This window comes from Homo sapiens, chromosome 8 (genome assembly GCF_000001405.40).
Source record: "Homo sapiens chromosome 8, GRCh38.p14 Primary Assembly".
Classification (NCBI taxonomy): Eukaryota; Metazoa; Chordata; class Mammalia; order Primates; family Hominidae; genus Homo; species Homo sapiens.
The window spans coordinates 125,376,489-125,398,662 of record NC_000008.11 but is presented as its reverse complement, the minus strand read 5'-3'; the positions used below and the strand labels follow the sequence as shown (position 1 = coordinate 125,398,662).

Sequence of the window (22,174 nt, the reverse complement as noted above, 5' to 3'; positions counted from 1 at the left end):
AAAGGGCAGCCTGGGGCCTAGATCAAGGATGTGGACAGCTACCATGAGTGATGAGCTCACTGCATCCTAAGAGTCCTTAAACACCCCAGCATCCATTCCTGCACGATGTCCCCCAAATTAGAATCAGAGAGAGGAAAGGACAACGGTGATCCCTTCTTCCCCCTCAGTGGTTTGGCATAGGTGCTGGAGAACAGGAACAGGTCTGGGAATCTGGATTAGAACTCATCTCTTCTGCTTGCTGGAAAAGTGTCTACCACTGCCCAGAGCCCAGAGTCCAACCATGGCCCTAAACCCACACTGAGAGTCTCCCAGCCATGAGAGGAGCCCCCTTCCCTGCATATACATTCTGCATCAGACAAAAACCAGTCCCCCTGGACTGAGAGGAGCGGTCTGTTAAAGGCCTTACAGTGTCGGCCGGTCAGAGTGGAAGACGTGGGCAGAAACCTGGACAAGAAGCTGAGCAGCCAGCCAGGGCCTTGGACACCACACCAAGGAGACTGGACTTGCCCTTGGAAGTGTCTGAAGAAGGAAGGGTACCAGGCGATTTGAGGGTTAGAAAAATCACTCTGGAGCAGTAGAGGAAATGGAGAGGAGAAAAGGGGGCAGAATGACTGGGGCAGCTTAGAAGACTACTGCACCAGTCCTAGCAAGAGAAGAAAGTGCCTGTATAGGGCAGTGAAGGTGGGGATGAAGATGAAAAAAGAGCGGGGCAAGGTGGCTCACGCATCTAATCCCAGCACTTTGGGAGGCCTAGGTGGGTGGATCCCTTGAGGTCAGGAGTTCAAGACCAGCCTGGCCAACATGATGAAACCCCGTCTCTACTAAAAATAGAAAAATCAGCCAGGCGTGGTGGCACACATGCTTGTGATCCCAGCTACTCAGGAGGCTGAGGCAGTAAAATCGCTTGAACCTGGGAGGCAGAGGTTGCCCTGAGCCGAGAGCACACCACTACACTACTGCACTCCAGCCTGGGCCACAGAGCAAGAGTCCATCTCAAAAAAAAAAAAAAAAGAAAAAAAGATAGGACAATGAGAGAAGCACCTAGCAAGGAGGAAAATGTCTGGGCCATTAATTGGCTTGGGCAGGGCACCTTCCAGGGTGTAGTGGGTTGAATGGCACCCCCAGAAAGAAAGATTTGTTTACTGATAACCTGTGGCTGTGACCTTATATGGACAAAGGATCTTTGTGGATGTGATTAAGTTATGGATCTCTAGATGAGATCATCCTGGACTATCCCGATAGCTCCTAAATCCAATGATGAGTGTCCTTATGAGAGGCACAGAGGAGAAGTCCACGTGAAGATGGAGGTAGAGACTGGAGTGAAGCAGCCGCAAACCAAGGAGCACCTGGAGCCACTAGAAGCTGGAAGAGCCAGGAGGAATTACTTCTAGAGCCCTTTACAGAGGGTAAGACCATGCTGGCACCTGATCGCGGACATCTGGCCTCCAGAACTGTGAGAGAATATATTCCTCGTTTTAAACCATCAAGTCATTGAATAGCAGCCCTAGGAAGCTGATGTATGGAGAGATGCAGGTTTCCAGGGTCTCGGAGACCCAGCCCTGCAGCTTCCCACCCACATTTCCACATCTCCCTGCTCCCAGGAAGGAGGCGCCCTGTTCCTAGCCTGCAGACCCAGACAGGCAAGCCTGCAGTGGGAAACACTCTCACTCGGGCCCTGCCTCGTGCTAAAAAAACAACCTCCGATGTGTTGCCACATGAGGATTAGTCAAATAATTATGAGCTCTGACTTCCCCTGAGTAATTCTGTCGGGTTGACAACTAAGGCCTCTGGAGGGGTAAGTGGAGTCGTCGCCCGGTCAGTGAGGAAAGGCAGCATCCAATACCTACCAGAAGAGGCTGATCTCCGTGGGAACCTACAAGAGACCCAACCGGGCTCACAGGTGGCACATCCCAAGCATGAACCAACTGGGGAAACGTGAGGCCACCAGCCAACCACCAACCCTGCACCCCACCCCACGAGGTGAGCTCACCCCATTTGGGGCCACAAGCTTTCATCTCCAGGATCACAGGAGCAGCGCTGGGGGCAAAGTGAGAGCTTGCCGGCACTCTCTCGGCTCTGCTCTATGGGGCCCTGAGAGGGAAAGGGAAGGTTGTCCTCACATTACAGGCTCAGAGAACCCAATGTGGCAATAGGCTCAGGGTCTTCAGAATCTCACTAAGAAGCCAGGTTCAAATGCCAGCATCAGCTGGGCGTGATGGCTCACACCTGTAATCCCAGCAATTTGGGAGGCTGAGGCAGGCAGATCACTTGAGTTCAGGAGTTCGAGACCAGCCTGGCCAACACGGTGAAACCCCGTCTCTACTAAAAATACAAAAATTAGCCGGGCATGGTGGCAGGCGCCTATAATCCTAGCTGCTTGGGAGGCTGAGGCAGGAGAATTGCTTGAACCTGGGAGATGGAGGTTGCAGTGAGCCAAGATTGCACCACTGCACTCCAGCCTGGGCGACAGAGAGAGACTCCGTCTCAAAAACAAAACAAAACAAAGCAAAACAAAACAAATGTCAGCACCACTTCTTAAAAGCTGTGTGTCTCTGGACAACTTAAGTCATCTCACTCAGCTTCAGTTTCCTCATCTCTAAAATGGGCATGATTAAACCCACAGTGCAAGGTTGTTTAAAAAATTAAATGAACTGGGCCAGGTGTGGTGGCTTATGCCTGTAATCCTAGCACTTTGGGAGGCCAAGGCGGGAGGATCACCTGAGCCCAGGAGTTTAAGACCAATTTAGGCAACATGGTGAAACCCCATCTACAAAAAATACAAAAATTAGCTGTGCATGGTGATGTGCATCTGTGGTCCTAGCTACTGGGGAGGCTGAGGTGGGAGGATCACTTGAGCCCAGGAGGCTACAGTGAGCCGTGGTCAAACCACTGTACTTCAGCTTGAGTGTTGCAAAGAAAAAGAAAGAAAAAAGAAATTAAATGAGCTGTTATATGCCAAATGCCTAACACATAGTAGGTGCTTCAATCAGTAGGTAAACACTTATTGAACACCTATTGTGTGCCAAGTGAACGAGCAGGTCACTGTCCTCATGGAGCAGAAACAGCCCAGCATGGGAAGGTTCTGATGGGAGCATAGGAGGTGAAGGGGAATTCCAGAGTAAGTGATATTGAAGGCGGCCTCGTATTTCTGTTCGGCTGCAAGTCTTACGGCAAGCAGTGGCAAGGTCAGTGCTCAAAACCCAGGCTTCAGACTCCCTACCTGCTGCCAGGGCCTCAGGCAGCCTTAGAGGGACCAGGTGAATGGGATTGGCCAGCTCTAGGTTAGAGTCAGCCCAGCAGCAACATCCCTGCCCAGAGGCTCCCAAGCCTCCAGCCTAGTGCACACTTCAGAGGGCTTCAGCCTTGGCCGCTACAGCTGCTTCTCCATTCACCTGCTGATGGTCATTTGTGTGTTTCTAGCCTTGGGTTATTACAAATAAAGCTGCTATGAATATTTATGAGCAAGTCTTGGTGTGGGCATACATTTTCATTCCCTTGGGTAAATTCCTAGAAGAAGACCCAAATTGTAGTAGGCATACATTTAACTTTTAAAGAAACTGCCAAACTGTTTTCCAAAGTAGTTGTACCACGTTCTATGTTCACGTGTTCCCTGACAACACTTGGTATAGTCAGTCTTTTTAATTTCAGCCAATCTAAGAGATGTGTTGTGGTGTCTCACTGTGGATTCAACTTGCATCTCTCCAATGATTGACGACCCTGAGCATCTTTGAATATATTTATTTGACTTCTGTGTATGTTTTTTGGTGATGTATCTGTTCAAATCTCTTGCCCATTTTTGTTTATTTATTTATTTAGAGATGGAGTCTTGCTCTGTTGCGCAGGTTGGAGTGCAGTGGTGCGATCTCAGCTCACTGCAACCTCCGCCTCCTGGGTTCAAGCGATTCTCCTGCCTTAGCCTCCTGAGTAGCTGGGACTACAGGGGTGCGCCACCAGTCCCAGCTAAGTTTTGTATTTTTAGTAGAGATGGTGTTTCACCATGTTGACCAGGCTGGTCTCAAACTCCTAACCTCAAGTGACCCGCCCATTTTGGCTTCCCAAGGTGCTGGGATTACAGGCGTGAGCCACTGCCTGGCCTATCTTGCCCATTTTAAAGAAGTAATGAGGTTGTTTGTTTTCTTATTATTGAATTTTAAGAGTTATTTCTGGCCGGGCACAGTGGCTCACGCATGTAATCCCAGCATTTTGGGAGGCTGAGGCGGGCGGACCACTTGAGATCAGGAGTTTGAAACCAGTCTGGCCAACATGGCAAAAACCCCATGTCTACTAAAAATATTTTAAAAAGTAGCCAGGCATGATGACGGGTGCCTGTAATCCAGGTACATGGGAGGCCGAGGCAGGAGAATCGCTTGAACCCACGAGGCGGAGGTTGCAGTGAGCTGAGATTGCACCATTGCACTCCAGTCTGGGCAACAAGAGCAAAACTCCATCTCAAAAAATAAATAAATAAAAAGAGTTATTTCTATTTTCTGGCTACAAGTCCTTTTTCAGATATATGATTTACAAATAGTTTCTCCCAATCTGTGGCTTATTTTTTCATTATCTTAACAGTATTTCCTAAAAAGCAGAAGTTTTAAAATTTCCAAGAAGTTCAATTTATCCATTTATTTTATGGGCTGTTCTTTTAGGGCCACATCTAAGAAATCTTTGTCTAACCCAAAGTCACAAAGGTTTCCTCTTATGTTTTTTTATTCTAGAAGTTTTGTAGTTCTAGGTTTTACAGTTAGACCTGTGATCTGTTTGAGTTAAATTTTTTCTATGGCACAAAGCATGGATTCAAGTTCATTTTTTAGAAGATGAATATCCAATTGTCCCAGCATCGTTTGTTTTGTTTGTTTTTTCCTTTTTTGAGACACAGTTTAGCTCTGTGGCCCAAACCGGAGTGCAGTGGCACCATCTTGGCTCACTGAAGCATCGACCTCCAGGCTCAAGTGATCCTCCCGCCTCAGCCTCCTGAGTAGCTGGGACTACAGGCATGCACCGCCACCACCATGCCTGGCTAATTGTTGTATTTTTTGTAGAGATGGGGGTTTCGCCATGTTGCCCAGGCTGGTCTCGAACTCAGCACCATTTGTTGAAAAGAGTATCTTTTTTCCATGCGATTTCCCTTATGCTTCTGCAAAAAAAAAAAAAAAAGAAGAAAAAGGCAGTTATTCATATGTGTAGATCTGTTGTTTCTGGATGCTCATCTCTTCCATGTATCTATTGGTCTGTCTCTGTGCCAATACCACACTGTTTTGACTACTATAGTTTTATTATAAGACTTCAAATCAGGTAGCATTGGTCTTCCAACTTTGTTCTTTTTTTGAAGTTATTTGTTCTAAGTCTTTTTGCATTTTAATATGAGTTTTAGTATTAGTTTGTCAATTTCTCAAAAATATATATATATGACAGGACATTGTACCTAGTAGTTGCTCAGGCAGTTGTTCTGGATTTCAATCTTGATTATTAACACTTCTACAGTGCTTCATGGTTTGCTCTACTTTTTCTTCCCTTAAATTTAACTCTCTCAACAAACCGGTGACACAGATGAACATGGTGTAGCTGATGTCCCCTATTGTACAATAAGGGAAACTGAGGCTCTGAAGGACAAACACCTTTCCTTATGATCACGCTGCTAGTGAGTGGCAGAAACAAGTTTTGAATGCTTGCTGTCAGACTCCAAACCCAGGGCTCTCCTGCAGTAACCTGCCTCTGAGTAGGGGGTCTCCAATACATTCTTACTATCCCCCAAATGTAATAACCTGGGCAAAGAGGGGCACTCATTGTTGTGGTTACCTTTTTAAAACTCAGTTTCAAAGGCTGGTGTCATGCAAATGTATTTCCGTTGCCCTTATTTGAACGCTTTCCTCTGGCTTCCCTAAAATGTGGGTGTCTGTCTTAATGGAAAAACCATATGCCTTTGTTCCCTTTTAACTTTCTTTCTTGGCAAGAACACAGCTCCATGGAGGAAAAGCGAGAGGAAACAGGGACACATTACAGAAGGAGGGATTCCGGTTTTGAAGTGAGGAAGAACTTCCGAATTGTGAAGGCTGCCAAGCCCTGGATTAAAATGCCAAAAAAGAACTTTTCCAGCCTGGGAATCCTGAGGTCCCACCGCTCTCTGGGGGCTAGCTATGGCCTCGAATCTCTCTGTCCTCAAAGGTCACTGGAAATCAGTCATTTGACCTCTCAATGCATTCCCCTAGGTGCACAATGACAGGTACAGGTTCTGGGGCTAGCCCACACCTCTCAGTGGGACCCATGATGGAGCTGACATACAGTGTACATAGCAGTTGTTTTTTTGTTTTGTTTTGTTTTTGGTTTTTTTTGTTGTTTTTTGTTTGTTTGTTTGTTTTGTTTTTTTTGAGACAGAGTGAGACTCTGTCACCTAGTCTGGAGTGCAGTGGTGCGATCTGGGCTCACTGCAACCTCCCCCTCCTGGGTTCAACCGATTCTCCTTCCTCAACCTCCTGAGTAGCTGGGATTACAGGAATGTGCCACCATGCCTGGCTAGTTTTTGTATTAACAGTTCTGAAATATTGGTTTGTCTTGTGTCGGGTTCTCTGGAAACAGTTCCTGAGATGAAGATTTGCATGTAGGGGTGTGTGGGAGGTGCTCTTGGGAACAAGGTCACGGGGTGTGCAGGAAGCCAATTGGGCAACGTGGATGCAACAGGGACCTCAGCCTGAAGTGCTGGTCCCTTTGTAACCCCCTATCAACCAGTCATTAGGTGCTGGCTGCCCCAGGGAAAGGAGAGGGACTGGCTGGCAGCCCACGCTCCTGGTCACTGGAAAAATAAGTTCCTTCATCCTGGAGGGAGTGTGCATTGGGGTGCAGGTTCCCACACATCCACTACGAGGACAGAGATTAGTTCAAGCCCTTCCTTTGTTCTTCACTGTTCCATGGGATCAGGCCTCTGGTGTCCCTGTTTTGAACAGCAGGAACGCACCTCCAGGAGCCCCTTGGGAGGCAATAAGTCCATTATTGGCTCACCCTCGGAAGAGCAGAGTGAAAATGATGTCAATGCAAAAATATCAACATCTAGAGTTTCTTTTCTCACTCTCTAGTTTTTTTCTGGGCTTTTGCTTCCATTTCCAGTACTCAGGACCTCTTTGATACTAATGAAAGACAAGGTAATTCTAGAACTTAGTGATTTCTTTCATGTCACCCACGGTGGTTGGAAGAATTCCTTGGCAGGCTGGACGCGGTGACTCATGCCTGTAAGCCCAACACTTTGGGAGGCTGAAGTGGGCAGATCACTTGAGGTCAGGAGTTCAAGACCAGCCTGGCCAACACAGTGAAACCCCATCTCTACTAAAAAAAAAAAAAAAATTAGCCAGGCGTGGTGGCGGGTGCCTGTAATCCCAGCTAGTTGGGAGGCTGAGACATGAGAATCGCTTGAACCTGGGAGTCGGAGGTTGCAATGAGCCAAGAGCATGCCATTGCACTCCAGCCTGGGTGACAGAGCGAGACTCTGCCTCAAAAAAAAAAAAAAAAAAAAAAAAAAAAAGAGAGAGAGAGAGAAAGAATTCCTTGGCTGATTCATTGACCAGATAACTGATTAGCGCCCCCAGAAAAAAAGCCCCCTCCCACCCTCACTCCTCCAGGGAGGAAGATTGTGCTTCTTCCTTCACTTATATTATCAGGAAGCTTCTGGAAAGAAGAGGAAATGCTGCCCAGAGTGCACAACCCTGAAGGGATAAGCTTCTCCTGGGTTCCGGGGGAGTGGGGTCGGTGGGGGTGGGGGAGTAAGCTTGCGATGGGGAGTGGTTGGGAGGAGGAGACATATCCCCACTTTTACTTGTTCCTTTAGCAAATATTCGTGGCACGCTTCCCATAGGGCGGCACAGTGCCAGTCCCCGCCCTTCAGTAACATGGGGTCTAGTGGAACCCTGTGTTAAATGCTATGATGGGGGGGGTAGAGGCTGCAGTGGATAAAGCGTCCAGGGCAGACAGCAGGGTGGGCACTGGGGAGTCAGCAAAGACCTGGGGGAGGAGAGGGTGACTAAGCTGAGACCTGGCAGAGAAGGAGGAATTGAGGGGGAAAGGGACGGAGTTGAGAAAGCCAGGAAGAGTCCGGGCTAGGAGAATGGCACCTGCCAAGGCCACAGGCAGGTGAGAGCCTCAGAGCTTCAAGGAAGGCACAACATTCTTCGTGGCTCAAGGGCAGAGGGATGAGGAAGCCAAGGGGCAGATGGGGGCAGAGCTGGCAGGGTGGGCAGGGTCTGAGACGGGAATAAACAGCTGGTGCCTGACCAAGACCACCACGACCACCAAGACCACCAAGGCGAGGGGCATCCTCAGGAAGAATTGGAGGTCTTGGGAGTGAGTAAATTATCAGCCGAGCAGCCCCTTTGGGAATTGCCCAGAGCGGCACCCCTGTCTCCCTCAGCCCTAGTGGGAGGGGAGGTCCGGTGGCAGCGGCAGCAGCAGCGTGGGGGCTCTCTTTCTGGAACATGCTTTCCCAGTATGGCATGGCTAGGTTGCTCACCTCTTGCAGGTCTTTGCCTCAATATCACTTTTCTCACGTGGGTTCTCCTAATTACCCTATTGCAACTTCTCCCACTCTTTCCCCCTGCCTGGCTCGTTTCTCTCCATGGCCCTTATCACCCTTCTCCCCCCAGCATTTTACTTGCCTGCCTCACATTGTCTAGCTCCTCTCACTTCTTGTGTGTGTGTGTGTCTTTTTTTTACCACCATATCCTGGGATCCTAAATGCTGGACTCAGTAAGTATTTATGGAATAGAAAACGGCTAACAAGCGCTCCTTGTTTTTTGTTTTGTTTTGTTTTTGTTTTTGTTTTTTTTTGAGACAGAGTCTTGCTCCGTTATCCAGGCTGGAGGGCAGTGGTGCGATCTTGACTCACTGCAACCTCCATCTCTCAGGTTCAAGCGATACTCATGCCTCAGCTTTCCAGGTAGCTGGGATTACAGGCACCCGCCAACACCCCTGGCTAATTTTTGTATTTTTAGTAGAGACGGGGTTTCGCCATGTTGGCCAGGCTGGTCTTGAACTCCTGACATCAAGTAATCCACCCACCTCAGCCTCCAAGATGCTGGAATTACAGATGTGAGCCACTGCGCCTGGCCAATCTCTCCTATTTAATACTTAACAATGCACCGGACTCAGCCTTCACACTTTGCAAGCGTTATCTTGTTTATCCACACAATAACTCCCATTTTACAGTGAGCAAACTGAGGCCAAGGGACACACAAAAAAGTTGCTCCAAATCCACATCTACTAAGTGGCAGAGCTGGGGTTCAAGCCCTTAGATTTGGCATCTGTAGTTGCTGCTGCTGAGTTCCCTCTGGAGAATGGCTTTAGCATTTCCAAGAATAGACAATATCTAGGAAGGGCATGTGTTTTTAACTCCCTCCCCACCGTGCGCACAAGCACATATTTTAAAAACCAAATTCCAGCAACTACACGTTCAAATTCAGAGGGCAGATTTGCCAAAGTGGTGGCATTGGCTGTTATTGGCAGAAACCTCCCACTCACAGACGTGGATCGTGAGTTTGCTGGTAAATCTGTTGAGTGGAACTCCTGAGATGGGGATGCACCTTCCCACGGCCTGTGTGGGGTGGCTCCCAGGCTAGCCCAGGAAGCCTGTTAACTCCCGCATCCTTCCTGAATTCGGACTGAGTCTCAACGCCAAGAATCCAGGAGAGCCAGATGGGAGGCTGCTGGTGGGGGAACTGACAGAGAAAGCGTGCTTCCTCCCTAGGAGCCCACTCTCACAGCCATGGCGTGTCCAAGTTTCTTATTTGTTCTACGAATAAACTACATAGACAGATAGAGGCACACTGACTAGGACGCTGCATCCTCCCACCTTGCAGCTGCCCTGGAGGGTGCAGGAGTGTCCTCTCATCTCACGAACGGGTCCTGAGGCTGAGAGAGGTCAGGGACTTGCTCTGAATCCTACAGCCTGAGATGGAATCCTACGTTCTCATAGTCTCACGGTCTCAGGGCTCGGGGAAGGGGTGGGGGGAGGGGAGCGGGCGGAGCTCCAGTCTGGGACTCCAGCCCCCAAAGCCTTGTTCTGTCCACTATTCGTTTGGGAAAGACTGTTGCCCAGAGAGGATGAGAAGCTGTTGGCCAGGCTGCTGTCCATCTTGAGCTCCGAGTGCATCTCTTGCAAATCGCTCCTGAAGCTGCGCCTCCCAGCTCATTCATCTGAGTGGAGAGAAGCCAGATTTCAGCACAGGCGCCGGGGCTGCTCCGCTACCTTTTCCCCCATCAGCCAGCGTTCCTCAGTTCTGAGTGGCTCTTTGTTGGCTTCTTCGGGGGAGAAAAGGATGATACTGATGACTGTATCTTTCACTTCCCAGACCCCACCCAGTGTACTTTTATGATTCGGAAATTTTATTAAATCCCTCAGCACAGCTTCTTTCTACACTTTCTGTGGTTTAACTCTCCCTGGGTCTTTTTGCTTAGGGTTTGGCTTTTGGTTTTTTTCTCTTTAAACGTGAGAGTCTGTCTCTCTTTTTTTTTTTTCCTCCATTGTTTCTTAAATGAACCAAGTACTAACATCTACTTGTTTTGTTCTGAGACAGAGTCTCACTCTGTTGCCCAGGCTGGAGTGCAGTGATGCAGTCTTGGCTCACTGCAGCCTCTGCCTCCTGGGTTCAAGTGATTCTCATGCCTCAGCCTCTGCAGTAGCTGGGATTACGGGGTGGGGTGCCACTACATCCGGCTAATTTTTATATTTTTACCAGAGAAGTGGTTTCACCATGTTGCTCAGGCTGGTCTCGAACCCCTGACCTCAGGTGATCCTCCCATCTCAGCCTCTCAAAATGCTGGGATTACAGGCGTGAGCCACCACGCCCAGCCTACATTTCCTTTTTTTTTTTTTTTTCTGAGACAGAATCTCACTCTGTCACCCAGGCTGGAGTGCAGTGATATGATCTCGGCTCACTGCAACCACTGCCTCCCAGGTTCAAGTGATTCTCCTGCCTCAGCCTCCCGAGTAGCTGGGACTACAGGCACCTGCCACCACACCCAGCTAATTTTTGTATTTTTAGTAGAGTGGGGTTTTCGCCATGTTGGCCAAGCTGGTCTTGAACTCCTGACCTCAGGTGATCGGCCTGCCAAAGTGCTGGGATTACAGGCGTAAACCACCATGCCCAGCCCCAACTACTAACATTTCTAAAATTCGCTATGTATAGGCCTTGAATACTGGACAGTAAGTGCACACTGACCTGGTGTTCATCCAGTGGATCCCTCTGTGCTCGAGTCCCCAGTAGAATCTGGGTCTCCTGGGCCTGCCCTCCCCTCTCCTTTCAGTCCTGTCCCTCTGGGATCCCACCTCTGGGCCTTAGCTCCCGTAAGAGAAGGCCTTTGCTTCTCACCTGTCCGAGCTGGTACCCTTCTCATTACCCAAAGCAAGTTCCCCTGGCCCGTGAAGTCTTTTCTGACCACGGTATCCTGAGCACTTTCCCAGTCCTACCTCCTGAAGGATTACTGCCTGCCTCACTGATCTGGTGGCACAATGTGACCCTCTATAATTATCTTGAGAAAGACTACATTAATTGCAAAGACGGGAATGGCATTTTAGAAAAATTAACTACCCCACCACCCTCCATCCTGGTTCCTCCCCACTTCCACCTACCCCCAAGCTAATTCATTCTGAGACTGCTTGGTGCTTTTTGTTATTTAATCTTCATGCATTCACATGCATTCAAATAGGCTGCAACCGCCTGAAAGCAGGAACAGAGGCTGCTACAGCCCAGGCTCACCAGGGGTGCAGCCAGGCAGGCCCCTCCCCTGCGTGCTTGATTCCTACCCGCTGAGGAGGGAATCCTGCCAAATGTTCCAGCGTCTCTGGGGTGAGAGCTCACTCAACACAGCCCCGAGAGCCCTGCAGAGCTGGGGCCACCTCCTTTTCACAGGTGAAGGCACTGAGGTGCGGAGAAGTTACTGTGAGTCACCTCAGGTCACAGAGCTAGTAAGTAAGAGAGTGAAATTGGAACTCGGGTCTTCTGACATGTCCAGCTGTTCTGGGAAAAACACTGAGGGCGTTTGACTTCCCTAAACCTCACTCCCTGAGCGCCTGTCACTGCAGAGCTGGGGTTAGCTAAAAAGGTGTTGCAATCCCTCGTTGTTCACCCAACAGCCAAGCCTGGGTTCCCATCTTTGGCTTGATACGTGCCCTTGGTAGCAGCCCCTCAAAACGCGTCTGTGGGGCGGCGTCCACCGGGGTGAGTCACTAACTATCTGCCAGCTGTCACCTCACCTTTAGCGCAGAGCGCTGGAAAGGCTTGTTTTCTTTGGCTGGCATTAAACAGCCACCTCTGACACGTGGTTGGATGCGGGACATATGTGGCGTCAAAGGCAAACAGGCCCACAGGAAAAATAGATTTGTAGAATGGAAGTCTCCCAGGCCAACAACAGCAGGCTTCTCCTTCAGACTCCCAGGGCTGACAGGGATGTCACCTGCTTCAAGGAGACAGATGGGGACATGTTGGGGAGTTCATGCTTGGTGACTCGTGGGAGCAATAGGAACAGCTGGCTGAGCTGTGTGGGTGTGACCTGGGATGGCAGCACCGAGGCGCTCGGGGAGTCTGAGCCCCAGCTCACACTTCTCCTGTGAAACTCAGATCTGCTGGTAAGCACAGCCGCTGGGGGCCTGTCCCTTCTGACAGTCTATGCTGAAATCCCAACCCCAGTGGGCGGGTGGGTATGCCTTGATGATTAATAGCCGAAGCTTCGTGCTGGTGTCGCCATGCTCTCCAGGGACTTCTTCATTTCAATGCTGGGCAGCGTGGAGGAAGGTTCTTAGGAGAACACTGGAGAATGTGGGAAGGCTTTGGGCACCGGCCAGGGCCCCCCGCCCCGCTCCAGCAGCAGCCTCCCAAAGGGTCACCCGGGATGCTGTTAGGGCTTTAAGAACACCAGTTTCGACCAGGCGCAGTGGCTCATGCCTGTAATCCCAGCACTTTGAGAGGCCAAGGCACGCAGATCTCTTGAGCTCACGAGTTCAAGACCAGCCTGGGTAACACGGTGAAAGAAACCCCATCTGTACAAAATATACAAAAATTAGCTGGCATGGTGGTGCGCATCTGTAGTCCCAGCCACTCGGGCGACTGAGATGGAAGGTTGCAGAGAGCTAAGATGGCGCCACTGCACTCCAGCCTGGGCAACGGAGTTGTTTCAAAACAACTTTATCTCAAAACAAACAAAACAAGAAAACACGAGTTTCTTTTCGTTTAATGTTCCATATCGATTTCAATGTATTTAAGGATACTTAGCACATCAAACTCATGATTGTATGCATTCTATTATTTAGGAGAAGGCTGAACTCCAAAAAATTCAGCAAATAATAATACAGGCCACAGGTGGATATGGTGAAACTTTGATAGCGGAGTTTGAATATTTGGAGTTTGGGAAATGCTGCTTTCTTGGAGAATCCAATATTCATGCCAAAAATATCAACTGAGCCTCGCTCTAGCTGAGCAGATGGTTAGAGACCTCTCTCTGATACAACGTTAGCCCATTCCCAAGCTTCCAACACATATGACATCTAGATTGGTAGGGTAAAGTGGAATGAGAGGTTTTTTTGTGTGTTGGTTTGTGATAATCAAGATTGTATCATGTAATGGGCCCTTGGGTATAGAGACAGAATATTAAAAAGAAAAGAAAGAAAAAGATGTACAACTCTCTACATTTTTGTACAAAATACAACTATGGTCTTTTTTGAGCTTTTTGCTTAAGAATATGCTGTTTTAAATAGCTAAAATTATAGTGTGTATATATGTTTTTCTGCTTGGCTTTATGAACCAAACATTAATTCATTTGGGTTTTTCCTTATATGCGAGGTGCATCAGGTACAGGACCCTCACATGGGGCATGAATTAGAATTGAAACAGCTAGGTGGGAAGGGGTCCCCAGAAAAACTCCAACCGGCCTGCTCCCTGGGAGAAACGCGCCCTGGGGTGGAGTCACAGCAGTTCATGCCGTTTACAGTGGGGAGAAGCCTGGTCCCTCCTTTTCCTGGGTGGAACCTGGGATTCAATCTGTGGGGCGGGAAACACATTAGCAGGGCCCTGGCTTTGCAGAGGGTTCCTCTTTCTCTTTTTTTCCCTTTTCCCAAATAAATTCTATTATTCTCACCCATCAAATTGTCTGCGAGCCTAATTTTTCTTGGCCGTGTGACAAGGACCCAACGCTTAGCTGAACTAAGGAGAAAGTCCTGTAACAGAATTACCTGGGAAGCTTGTTAAAATGCATAATTCCTCCCAGGATTCTGACTCAGTCAGTCTAGTCAGTCTAGGGTCAGTCTAGGGTGAGCCTATGCATATGCATTGAAACAAATTTCTTTTTGAGACGGAGTCTCGCTCTGTCACCCAGGCTGAAGTGCAGTGACACAGTCTCAGCCCACTACAACCTCTGCCTCCCGGGTTCAAGTTATTCTCCTGCCTCAGCCTCCAGAGTAGCTGGGATTACACATGTCTGCCCCCATGCCCGGCCAATTTTTGTATTTTTAGTGGAGACAGGGTTTCACCATGTTGGCCAGGCTGGTCTTGAACTCCCGACCTCAGGTGATCCACCCATCTTGGCCTCCCAAAGTTCTGGGATTAGAGGTGGGAGCCACCGCCCCCAGCCAGGCATATGCATTTTAACCAGCTTTTCCGGTCGACTGATAAAGGCGAGCCTGGACCTCACTTTGAGAAACCTTGATGCGTAGGGGGGAAACATGACTCAGACGTGGACTCCATCCTGAGGAGAGCACAGCCAAGGGAGGCAGATGAGACGCCTACAACAACTCACAAAGTAGAAAGGACCCAGTGCAGTGGGAGAATATGAAATGAAGTGCAAGGCAGCTCCATGGAGGGCAAAACTGCTTCCAACAACTTGTGCCTCATGCACTCATGCACTGCTCTGATAATAAGCTTCGTTATTTTGTGTCTTTAACCAGCGAGAAGTCGTCCTTTCAGGGTGGGATCTGGGTCTTGGTCATCTTTAAGCTCAGTGTCTAGCACAGAACTAGGACTGGAATGGGACTGACCCATGGCTGGTGGGATGGACAGACAGATAGGTGGAGGGAGAGGAATTTTCTCCAAGGATAGTGTCTTCTTTATTTTATTTTTATTTATTTATTTATTTTTGAGATGGAGTCTTGCTCTGTTGCCTAGGCTGGAGTGCAGTGGCGCGATCTCAGCTCACTGCAAGCTCAACCTCTCGAGTTCCAGCAATTCTCCTGCCTCAACCTCCCAAGTAGCTGGGATTATAGGCGCGTGCCACTGTGCCCAGCTAGTTTTTGTATTTTTAGTAGAGACAGGGTTTCACCACGTTGGCCAGGATGGTCTCGATCTCTTGACCTTGTGATCCACCTGCCTCAGTCTCCCAAAATGCTGGGATTACAGGCATGAGCCACAGCAGCTGGGCAGTGTCTTCTTTTTAGAAGGTGTTTGTTCATGCAACAAATCTCCATAAGATGCATGAGGGGTTTTGTTTTAAGGTAGGTGAGTTGGGGAAGGATGGTCTAAATAGACTTTTCTGGTATTCATCTCTCACCACCACCACCCACACTCTTGGGCGCTGCAGCTTGACCCTCTGCTTCTGAAGGTTGCATATTTTTGCCTGTTGTATTCCAACCTACCCAGAATTTTTTATTCATAGTATTACTCCTACGTCTAACAGAAGAATCATTTCAATGCTGTAGGATCTTCTCTCTCCTTTTGTTGAAGGGTAGTGGGGAAAAATTTCCCATTATTTGTCTTGGATATTGGAAGTCACACGCTAGTTGCAAGAACTTGTGATCTTTTGAAAGAGTGTGGCTTTTTGTGAGGTAATGCGTAAAACAAATACAGCCTCCCAAGACCCCACCCTTTCTGCTTATCAACAGAATCAAGAAACATGCCTGCAGAATCTTTTGAAGACAGGCTGTGAGTAGCTAAGGCAGGGCCAAGAATGGAGACATCCTCTCACTGTGCCTTCAATTCCCCACCACCCACTGCTCCTCCTAGAGTACCCGTGTGCTGTGGTTTGAATGTATCCCCCAAATTTCATGTGTTGGAAACTTGATTCCCAAATTAATATATTTATGTTATTTGAAGGTGAGGCCTTTGGGAGGTAATTAGGACCAGATAAGGTCATCAGGGTGGGGTGCCCATGATGGAACTAGCGGCTTTATAAGAAGAGGAAGAGAGACTTGAGCTGAAATACTCTTGCCCTCTCGCCAAGTGATGCCCTCCTTCACGATTTTATCATGGGGCACGAAGGCCCTCACCAGATGCCAGCACTGTACTCTTTGATTTCCCAGCCTCTAGAACTGTGGGCTAAATACATTTCTTTCCTTTATAAATTACCTGGTCTGTGGTATTCTGTTATAGTAGCAGAAAATGGACTGAGACACTATGATATAAATTCACTTTAAGAAAAAAAGAGTAGGCTCATGTGTTAGAAGAACCTGGGGACTCCTCTGAGAGGATCAGAACTGCTAAGGACTTCCCACGCTGGCTCCATGGTCTGACCTAGAACTTGATCTGCCTGGCTCAGTGGGGCTGTTTTGGCAGGGGCAGGGGTGGGGTCTGGTTCCAGTCCTCCTGGCCCATCACTCACTGGCTCAGGGATCTTGGGCAAGACTTGATCTTCTTTGGGCATCAGTTTCTTCATCTGCACCCACAGCTGTTGGGAGGATTTATGGACTAGGGCATGCAAAATATGCCTGATGAGCTCTGACAACTACCGCTTGTCTGGGAGGAATTTCATCTGCATTATGTATACGTATTTCTTCTTATTTAATCTTCTGAGGACAAAGAGAACATTTCAAAAAATGCATAATTTACTAAATGATCAGCAAACAACTGCAAGGTGCCAGGCTTTGTGCTAGGTGACAGAAATACATGAATTATAGCAGACTCTATCACAGAATGTCCTGGAAACATAGCAGAGGCTGGAATATAAATGAGGAGCAGCCAGAGAGCCAGGTCCACCATAGAGGGGAGTACAAGTGCCAACAGGGCTCTTGACCTTCATTGGGCCCTGGACCAGTGGGTGGTCCTAGTGAGGTGTCGAACCCTTTTTCAGAACAATGCTTTTAAAAGCATAAGATTACAAAGGAACCCAATTATATTGAAAGGTAATGAATTATATTGAGACATTTTGAAAAATGAATTTGTAATTTAGTAATAGATATGCTTTTTAATTAACATAGTAAATAAGATCTAGCAGCAGGTTTAGAAAGTACTGTATTTTATTTCTTCTTTTTTTGTCCTCTTCTATCTTCTTTCCTTTGGGGATTCCAAATACATGTATATTAGGCTGCTTGATGTTGTCCCACAGCTCACTGATGTTGTTTACTGTTTTCTTTCTGTGGGTTTTTTATTTCCTGTGACTTTTTTCTCCCTGTGCTTCAATTTGGTTAGTTTCTCTTGCTCCATCTTCAGCCTCACTAATCTTTTCTAATACAGTGTTGAATTTACTGTTAGTCCCACCCAGTATGTTTTTCATTCCAGATGTATTTTTTTTTTTTTTAGAAATTTGATTTGGGTCATTTTTATATCTTCCATGTTTCTCCATCACATCTCATGCTTTCCTCTACCTTTTAGACATATATTTTCTTCCTTTCTTTCTTTCTCTCTCTCTCTGTCTCTCTCTTTCTTTCTTTCTTTTTTGAGATGGAGTCTTGCCCTGTCTGTCGCCCAGGCTGGAGTGCAATGGCATGATCTTGGCTCACTGCAACCTCCACCTCCTGGGTTTAAGTGATTCTCCTGCCTCAGCCTCCCGAATAGTTGGGATTACAGGCACACACGTCCACGCCCAGCTAATTTTTGTATTATTAGTAGAGACAGGGTTTCACCATGTTGGCCAGGCTGGTCTCAAACCCCTGACCTCGTGATCCATACGCCTTAGCCTCCCAGAGTGCTGGATTACAGGCGTGAGCCACTGCACCTGGCCCTAGACATATATTTTCAATAGCTGTTTTAATATTTTCATCTACTAATTCTGTCATCTATGTCTATTAATATTACACAAATCTTCCTTTTATTATGGATTATATTTTCCTGCTTATTTGCATAGCTGGAACTTAAAAAAAATTTTTAAATTAGTTTATTACTTTTTTAGAGACAGGGTCTTGCTATGTTACCGAGGCTAGAGTGCAGTGGAATGATCATAGGTCACTGCAGCCTCAAACTCCTGGGCTCAAGCAATCCTCTTGCCTCCCAAAGCATTGGGATTACAGGCATGAGTCACTGCTCCCAGCACATAGCTGGAACTTTTTGATTGGATGTCAGACATTGTGAATTTGACATTGTTGGGTGCTAGATTTATTTGTTTATTTTGTATTCTTTTAAATATTTTTGAGCCTTGCTCTGGTATACAGTTAATGAGAAATGGTTCAATCTTTTTGACCAAAGGTCAGCAAGTGGGCTGGGCACGGTGGCTCACGCCTGTAATCCCAGCACTTGGGGAGGCTGAGGTGGGTGGATCACCTGAGGTCAGCAGTTCAACGTCAGCCTGGCCAACATGGTGAAACACTGTCTTTATTAAAAACACAAAAATTAGCTAGGCGTGGTGGCGAGTGCCTGTAATCCCAGCTACTTGGGAGGCCGAGGCAGGAGAGTCACTTGAACCTGGGAGGCGGAGGTTGCAGTGAGATGAGATCACGCCACTGCACTCCAGACTGGGCAACAGAGTGAGACTCCATCTCAAAAAAGAAAAAACGGTCAGCAAGCTACAGCCCACAGGCCAAATCTGCCCCCTGCCCACCTCTGCTTTTATATGATTCATGAGGTAAGAATGTGTTTTACATTTTTAAGTGGTTGCAAATATCAAAAGAATAATATTTTGTGGCAGGTGAAAATTAAATTTAAGAAATTCAATCTATAAATAACTCTTTATGGAACACAGCCACACTTATGCATTTGCATATTGTCTGCATTTCATGCTACAAGGGCAGAGTTGAGTTGCTGCAACAGAGACTGTATGTCCTCCTGCAAAGCTGAGAATATTCACTCTCTGGTCCTTCACACACGGTTTTGCTACCCCTGCTTTGGAGGTGTATTTTTTTTTTTTTTTTTGAGATGTAGTTTCGCTCTTGCTGCCTGGAGTTTTGCTCTTCGCAGTCTGGAGTGCAATGGCGTAATCTCGTCTCACTGCAACCTCCGCCCCCCAGGTTCAAGCGATTCTCCTGCCTCAGCCTCCCAAATAGCTGGTATTACAGGTACACGCCACCACACCAGGCTAATTTTTGTATTGTTAGTAGAGATGGGGTTTCGCCATGTTGGCCAGGCTGGTCTCGAACTCCTGACCTCAGGTGATCCACCTGCCTTGGCCTCCCAAACTGCTGGGATTATAGGCACGAGCCACTGCACCTGGCCTGGAGGTGTATCTTTAGGCATCGTTAAGCAGTACAAGAGCATCCTTTAGTCTAGGGCTAGATTTCCACTCTACCAAATGCCTCATCAGTTATGAGGCTTTCTACTCTGGCTGGTGGGAAAAGGAACTATTCTTCGGTCTCTGTGAGCTCCAGTTTTTGTTACCTCTCCTCCTCTGTGGTTCTTTTCCAGCCTCAGGTGGTTTCCTCACAGGCGCATGCTGATGATGACTCAGCTGCAGGCTCCAGGGGCTCGCTGAGCAGCTCTCTCTTTTCAGTGCTGCCCTGTGAATTCTAGCCGCTTGGCCTCCCTCATCAACTGTCCACTCAGCGCAGACAGACTGGCAGGCCCACATGGGCTTCCCTGGCTCTACGGTGGCCTGGGCACTCTCTGGGCACTGAGCAGTCATTGGGCTGAGCTGGTTTGTTTGTTTCCCTTCCCTATCACTGGCCTGTGCTGCCTGTTGTCTAGTGTCTGAAAACCACTGTTTCATCAATGACATCTAGATTTTTAGCTGTTAAAGGTGGGAAGATCAATCCAATTTCTCTTATTCTGTAATTGCAAGAAACAAACTAAGTAATGCATTTTATAAGAAATGACGGTAATTTTATCTCCATAACAACAGTAATGTAATATGAAAATATTATGACTTTTTTTTTTTTTTGAGATGGAATCTTGCTCTGTCACTCAGGCTGGAGTGCAGTGGTGTGATCTCGGCTCACTGCAACCTCTGCCTCCTGCATTCAAGGGATTCTTCTGCCTCAGCCTCCTGAGTAGCTGGGATTACAGGCGTGCATCACCATGCCTGGCTAATTTTTATATTTTTAGTAGAGATGGGGTTTCACCATATTGGCCAGGCTGGTCTCGAACTCCTGACCTCGTGATCCGCCCTCCCTCCTTGGCCTCCCAAAGTGCTGGGATTACAGGCATGAGCCACCACACCCTGCCTATTTATCACTTTTGTTAGTGATAAAGTCACAGGTACTGCTAATTCTATTGGAGTTCATTGCCTATATTCAGAATTGTGGGAGACGCTAAATTCCAATTACAGGTTAGTAAAGAAGCAATTTGCTCCCCACATCAATTTATAAACTTCCTGAATTTTATCCACAGTCCCTTGGGAGTTGACCAAGGGTTCCCTCCATGAGACCCTTTATGCTAAGTTTTTCTTCTTCTAAGTCTCAAAGACTGTTTAATTGGCCTTTTAATGGCACATATTGTTAATTGTCTTGTGGCATATTCCTGACACAGTCGCATATTTTCTTTTTTTTTGAGACAGAGTCTCACTCTGTCACCCAGGCTGGACTGCAGTGGCATGATCTTGGGTCACTGCAACCTTCGCCTCCTGGGTTCAAGTAATTCTCCTGCCTGAGCCTCCCAAGTAGCTGGGATTACAGGTGTGCACCACCACACCCAGCTATTTTTTGTATTTTTTAGCAGAGACAGAGTTTCACCAAGTTGGCCAGGCTGGTCTGGATCTCCTGACTTCAAGTGATCCGGCTGCCTAGGCCTCCCAAAGTGCTGGGATTGCAGGCTTGAGCCACTGCGCCTGGCCAGAGTCCCATATTTTCTATAAAACAAGCCTGAGTTTTTTTCTCTGTGGGCAAAAACATCCCAGTTCTTTTCAGTATAGCATCCAAGTTTTACCATCCCTAAATAGCCTTGTTTATGCTGTTCTCTGGACGAATCAGTGTCTTCACATTCTTTGTGAACTGTGGTCACCATGAATAGCTTAAAAACTCACCTCTGGGCCTCACGCAGAGCCTCATGGCCTGTCTTCCTGACTGCACGGCAGCCTTTTCCATACATTCCAGCAGCATGCGGACTCGTTTCTTAACAGCACTGTGGTGTTTGTGACAAAAGATGATCCTTGAGTTGCTTCCTTTCATAATCGTATCTTGCTTTTTGTTTTAAAACCAATTCTGCATTTGTTCATTAAAAAGAAAGAAATCTGCCAGGCGCAGTGGCTCACACCTGTAATCCCAGCACTTTGGGAGGCCGAGGTGGGCAGATAAGAGGTCAGGAGTTTGAGACCAGACTGACTAATGTGTTGAAACCCCGTCTCTACTAAAAACACAGAAAATTAGCTGGGCGTGGTGGCATGTGCCTGTAATCCCAGCTACTCAGGAGGCTGAGGCAGGAGAATCGCTTGAACCTGGGAGGCGGAGGTTGCAGTGAGCCGAGATCACACCACTGCTCTCCAGGCTGGGCTGGGTGCGGTGGCTCACGCCTGTAATCCCACCACTTTGGGAAACTGAGGGAGGGTGGATCCCTTGAGCCTAGGAGTTCAATATCAGCCTGGGCAACTCAACACAACCCCGTCTCCATGAACAAACAACAAAAAAATTAGCTGGGTGTGGTGGCACACGCTGGCAGTCCCAGCTACTGGGGAGGCTGAGGTGGGAAAATTGTTTGAGCCTGGAAGGTTGAGGCTGCAGTGAGCCGAAATCACACCACTGCACTCCAGCCTGAGTGACAGAGCAAGACCCTGACTCAAAAAAAAAAAAAAAAAAAAAAAAAAAAAAGTACTGGATTCAATGAGTTTTGGTAAATTTAGAGTTGTGCAACCTCCACTACAATCCAATTTCCCTTACCCCCAGAGGGTCCCTCGTGCATTCCCTCTCAGTTGTCACCCCCAGACCAGGCCACCACTAATCTTTCTGTCCCTCTAGATTTGAATCTTTCTGAACATTGAGTGTGAGAGGATTCATAGCCTATGTGATCTCTATGACTGGCTTCTTTCACTGAGCATGTTTTCCACATCCATATGTGCTTCACTCCTACTCACAGAAACAGAGTAGGAGGGAGGTTACCAGGGGTCTGGGGTAGGGAAATGCAAAGATGTGGGTCAAAGG

At 47.7% G+C, this 22,174-nt stretch overlaps 5 annotated features.

The window, feature by feature from the left end:
• Positions 9,114–9,614: an enhancer, noted in NCBI's record as "H3K27ac hESC enhancer chr8:126401291-126401791 (GRCh37/hg19 assembly coordinates)". NCBI's record gives its function as "activates a minimal SCP1, AML or CMV promoter by ChIP-STARR-seq in primed H9 embryonic stem cells {active_cell/tissue: H9 hESC(primed)}" and the evidence as "EXISTENCE:reporter gene assay evidence [ECO:0000049][PMID:30033119]".
• Positions 9,615–10,115: an enhancer, noted in NCBI's record as "H3K27ac hESC enhancer chr8:126400790-126401290 (GRCh37/hg19 assembly coordinates)". NCBI's record gives its function as "activates a minimal SCP1, AML or CMV promoter by ChIP-STARR-seq in primed H9 embryonic stem cells {active_cell/tissue: H9 hESC(primed)}" and the evidence as "EXISTENCE:reporter gene assay evidence [ECO:0000049][PMID:30033119]".
• Positions 11,221–11,911: an enhancer, noted in NCBI's record as "OCT4-NANOG-H3K27ac-H3K4me1 hESC enhancer chr8:126398994-126399684 (GRCh37/hg19 assembly coordinates)". NCBI's record gives its function as "activates a minimal SCP1, AML or CMV promoter by ChIP-STARR-seq in naive and primed H9 embryonic stem cells {active_cell/tissue: H9 hESC(naive and primed)}" and the evidence as "EXISTENCE:reporter gene assay evidence [ECO:0000049][PMID:30033119]".
• Positions 12,062–12,356: a silencer, noted in NCBI's record as "tiled region #8491; K562 Repressive non-DNase unmatched - State 7:EnhWF". NCBI's record gives its function as "represses a minimal TATA promoter and a strong SV40 promoter by Sharpr-MPRA in K562 cells {active_cell/tissue: K562}" and the evidence as "EXISTENCE:reporter gene assay evidence [ECO:0000049][PMID:27701403]".
• Positions 21,000–21,566: an enhancer, noted in NCBI's record as "H3K4me1 hESC enhancer chr8:126389339-126389905 (GRCh37/hg19 assembly coordinates)". NCBI's record gives its function as "activates a minimal SCP1, AML or CMV promoter by ChIP-STARR-seq in primed H9 embryonic stem cells {active_cell/tissue: H9 hESC(primed)}" and the evidence as "EXISTENCE:reporter gene assay evidence [ECO:0000049][PMID:30033119]".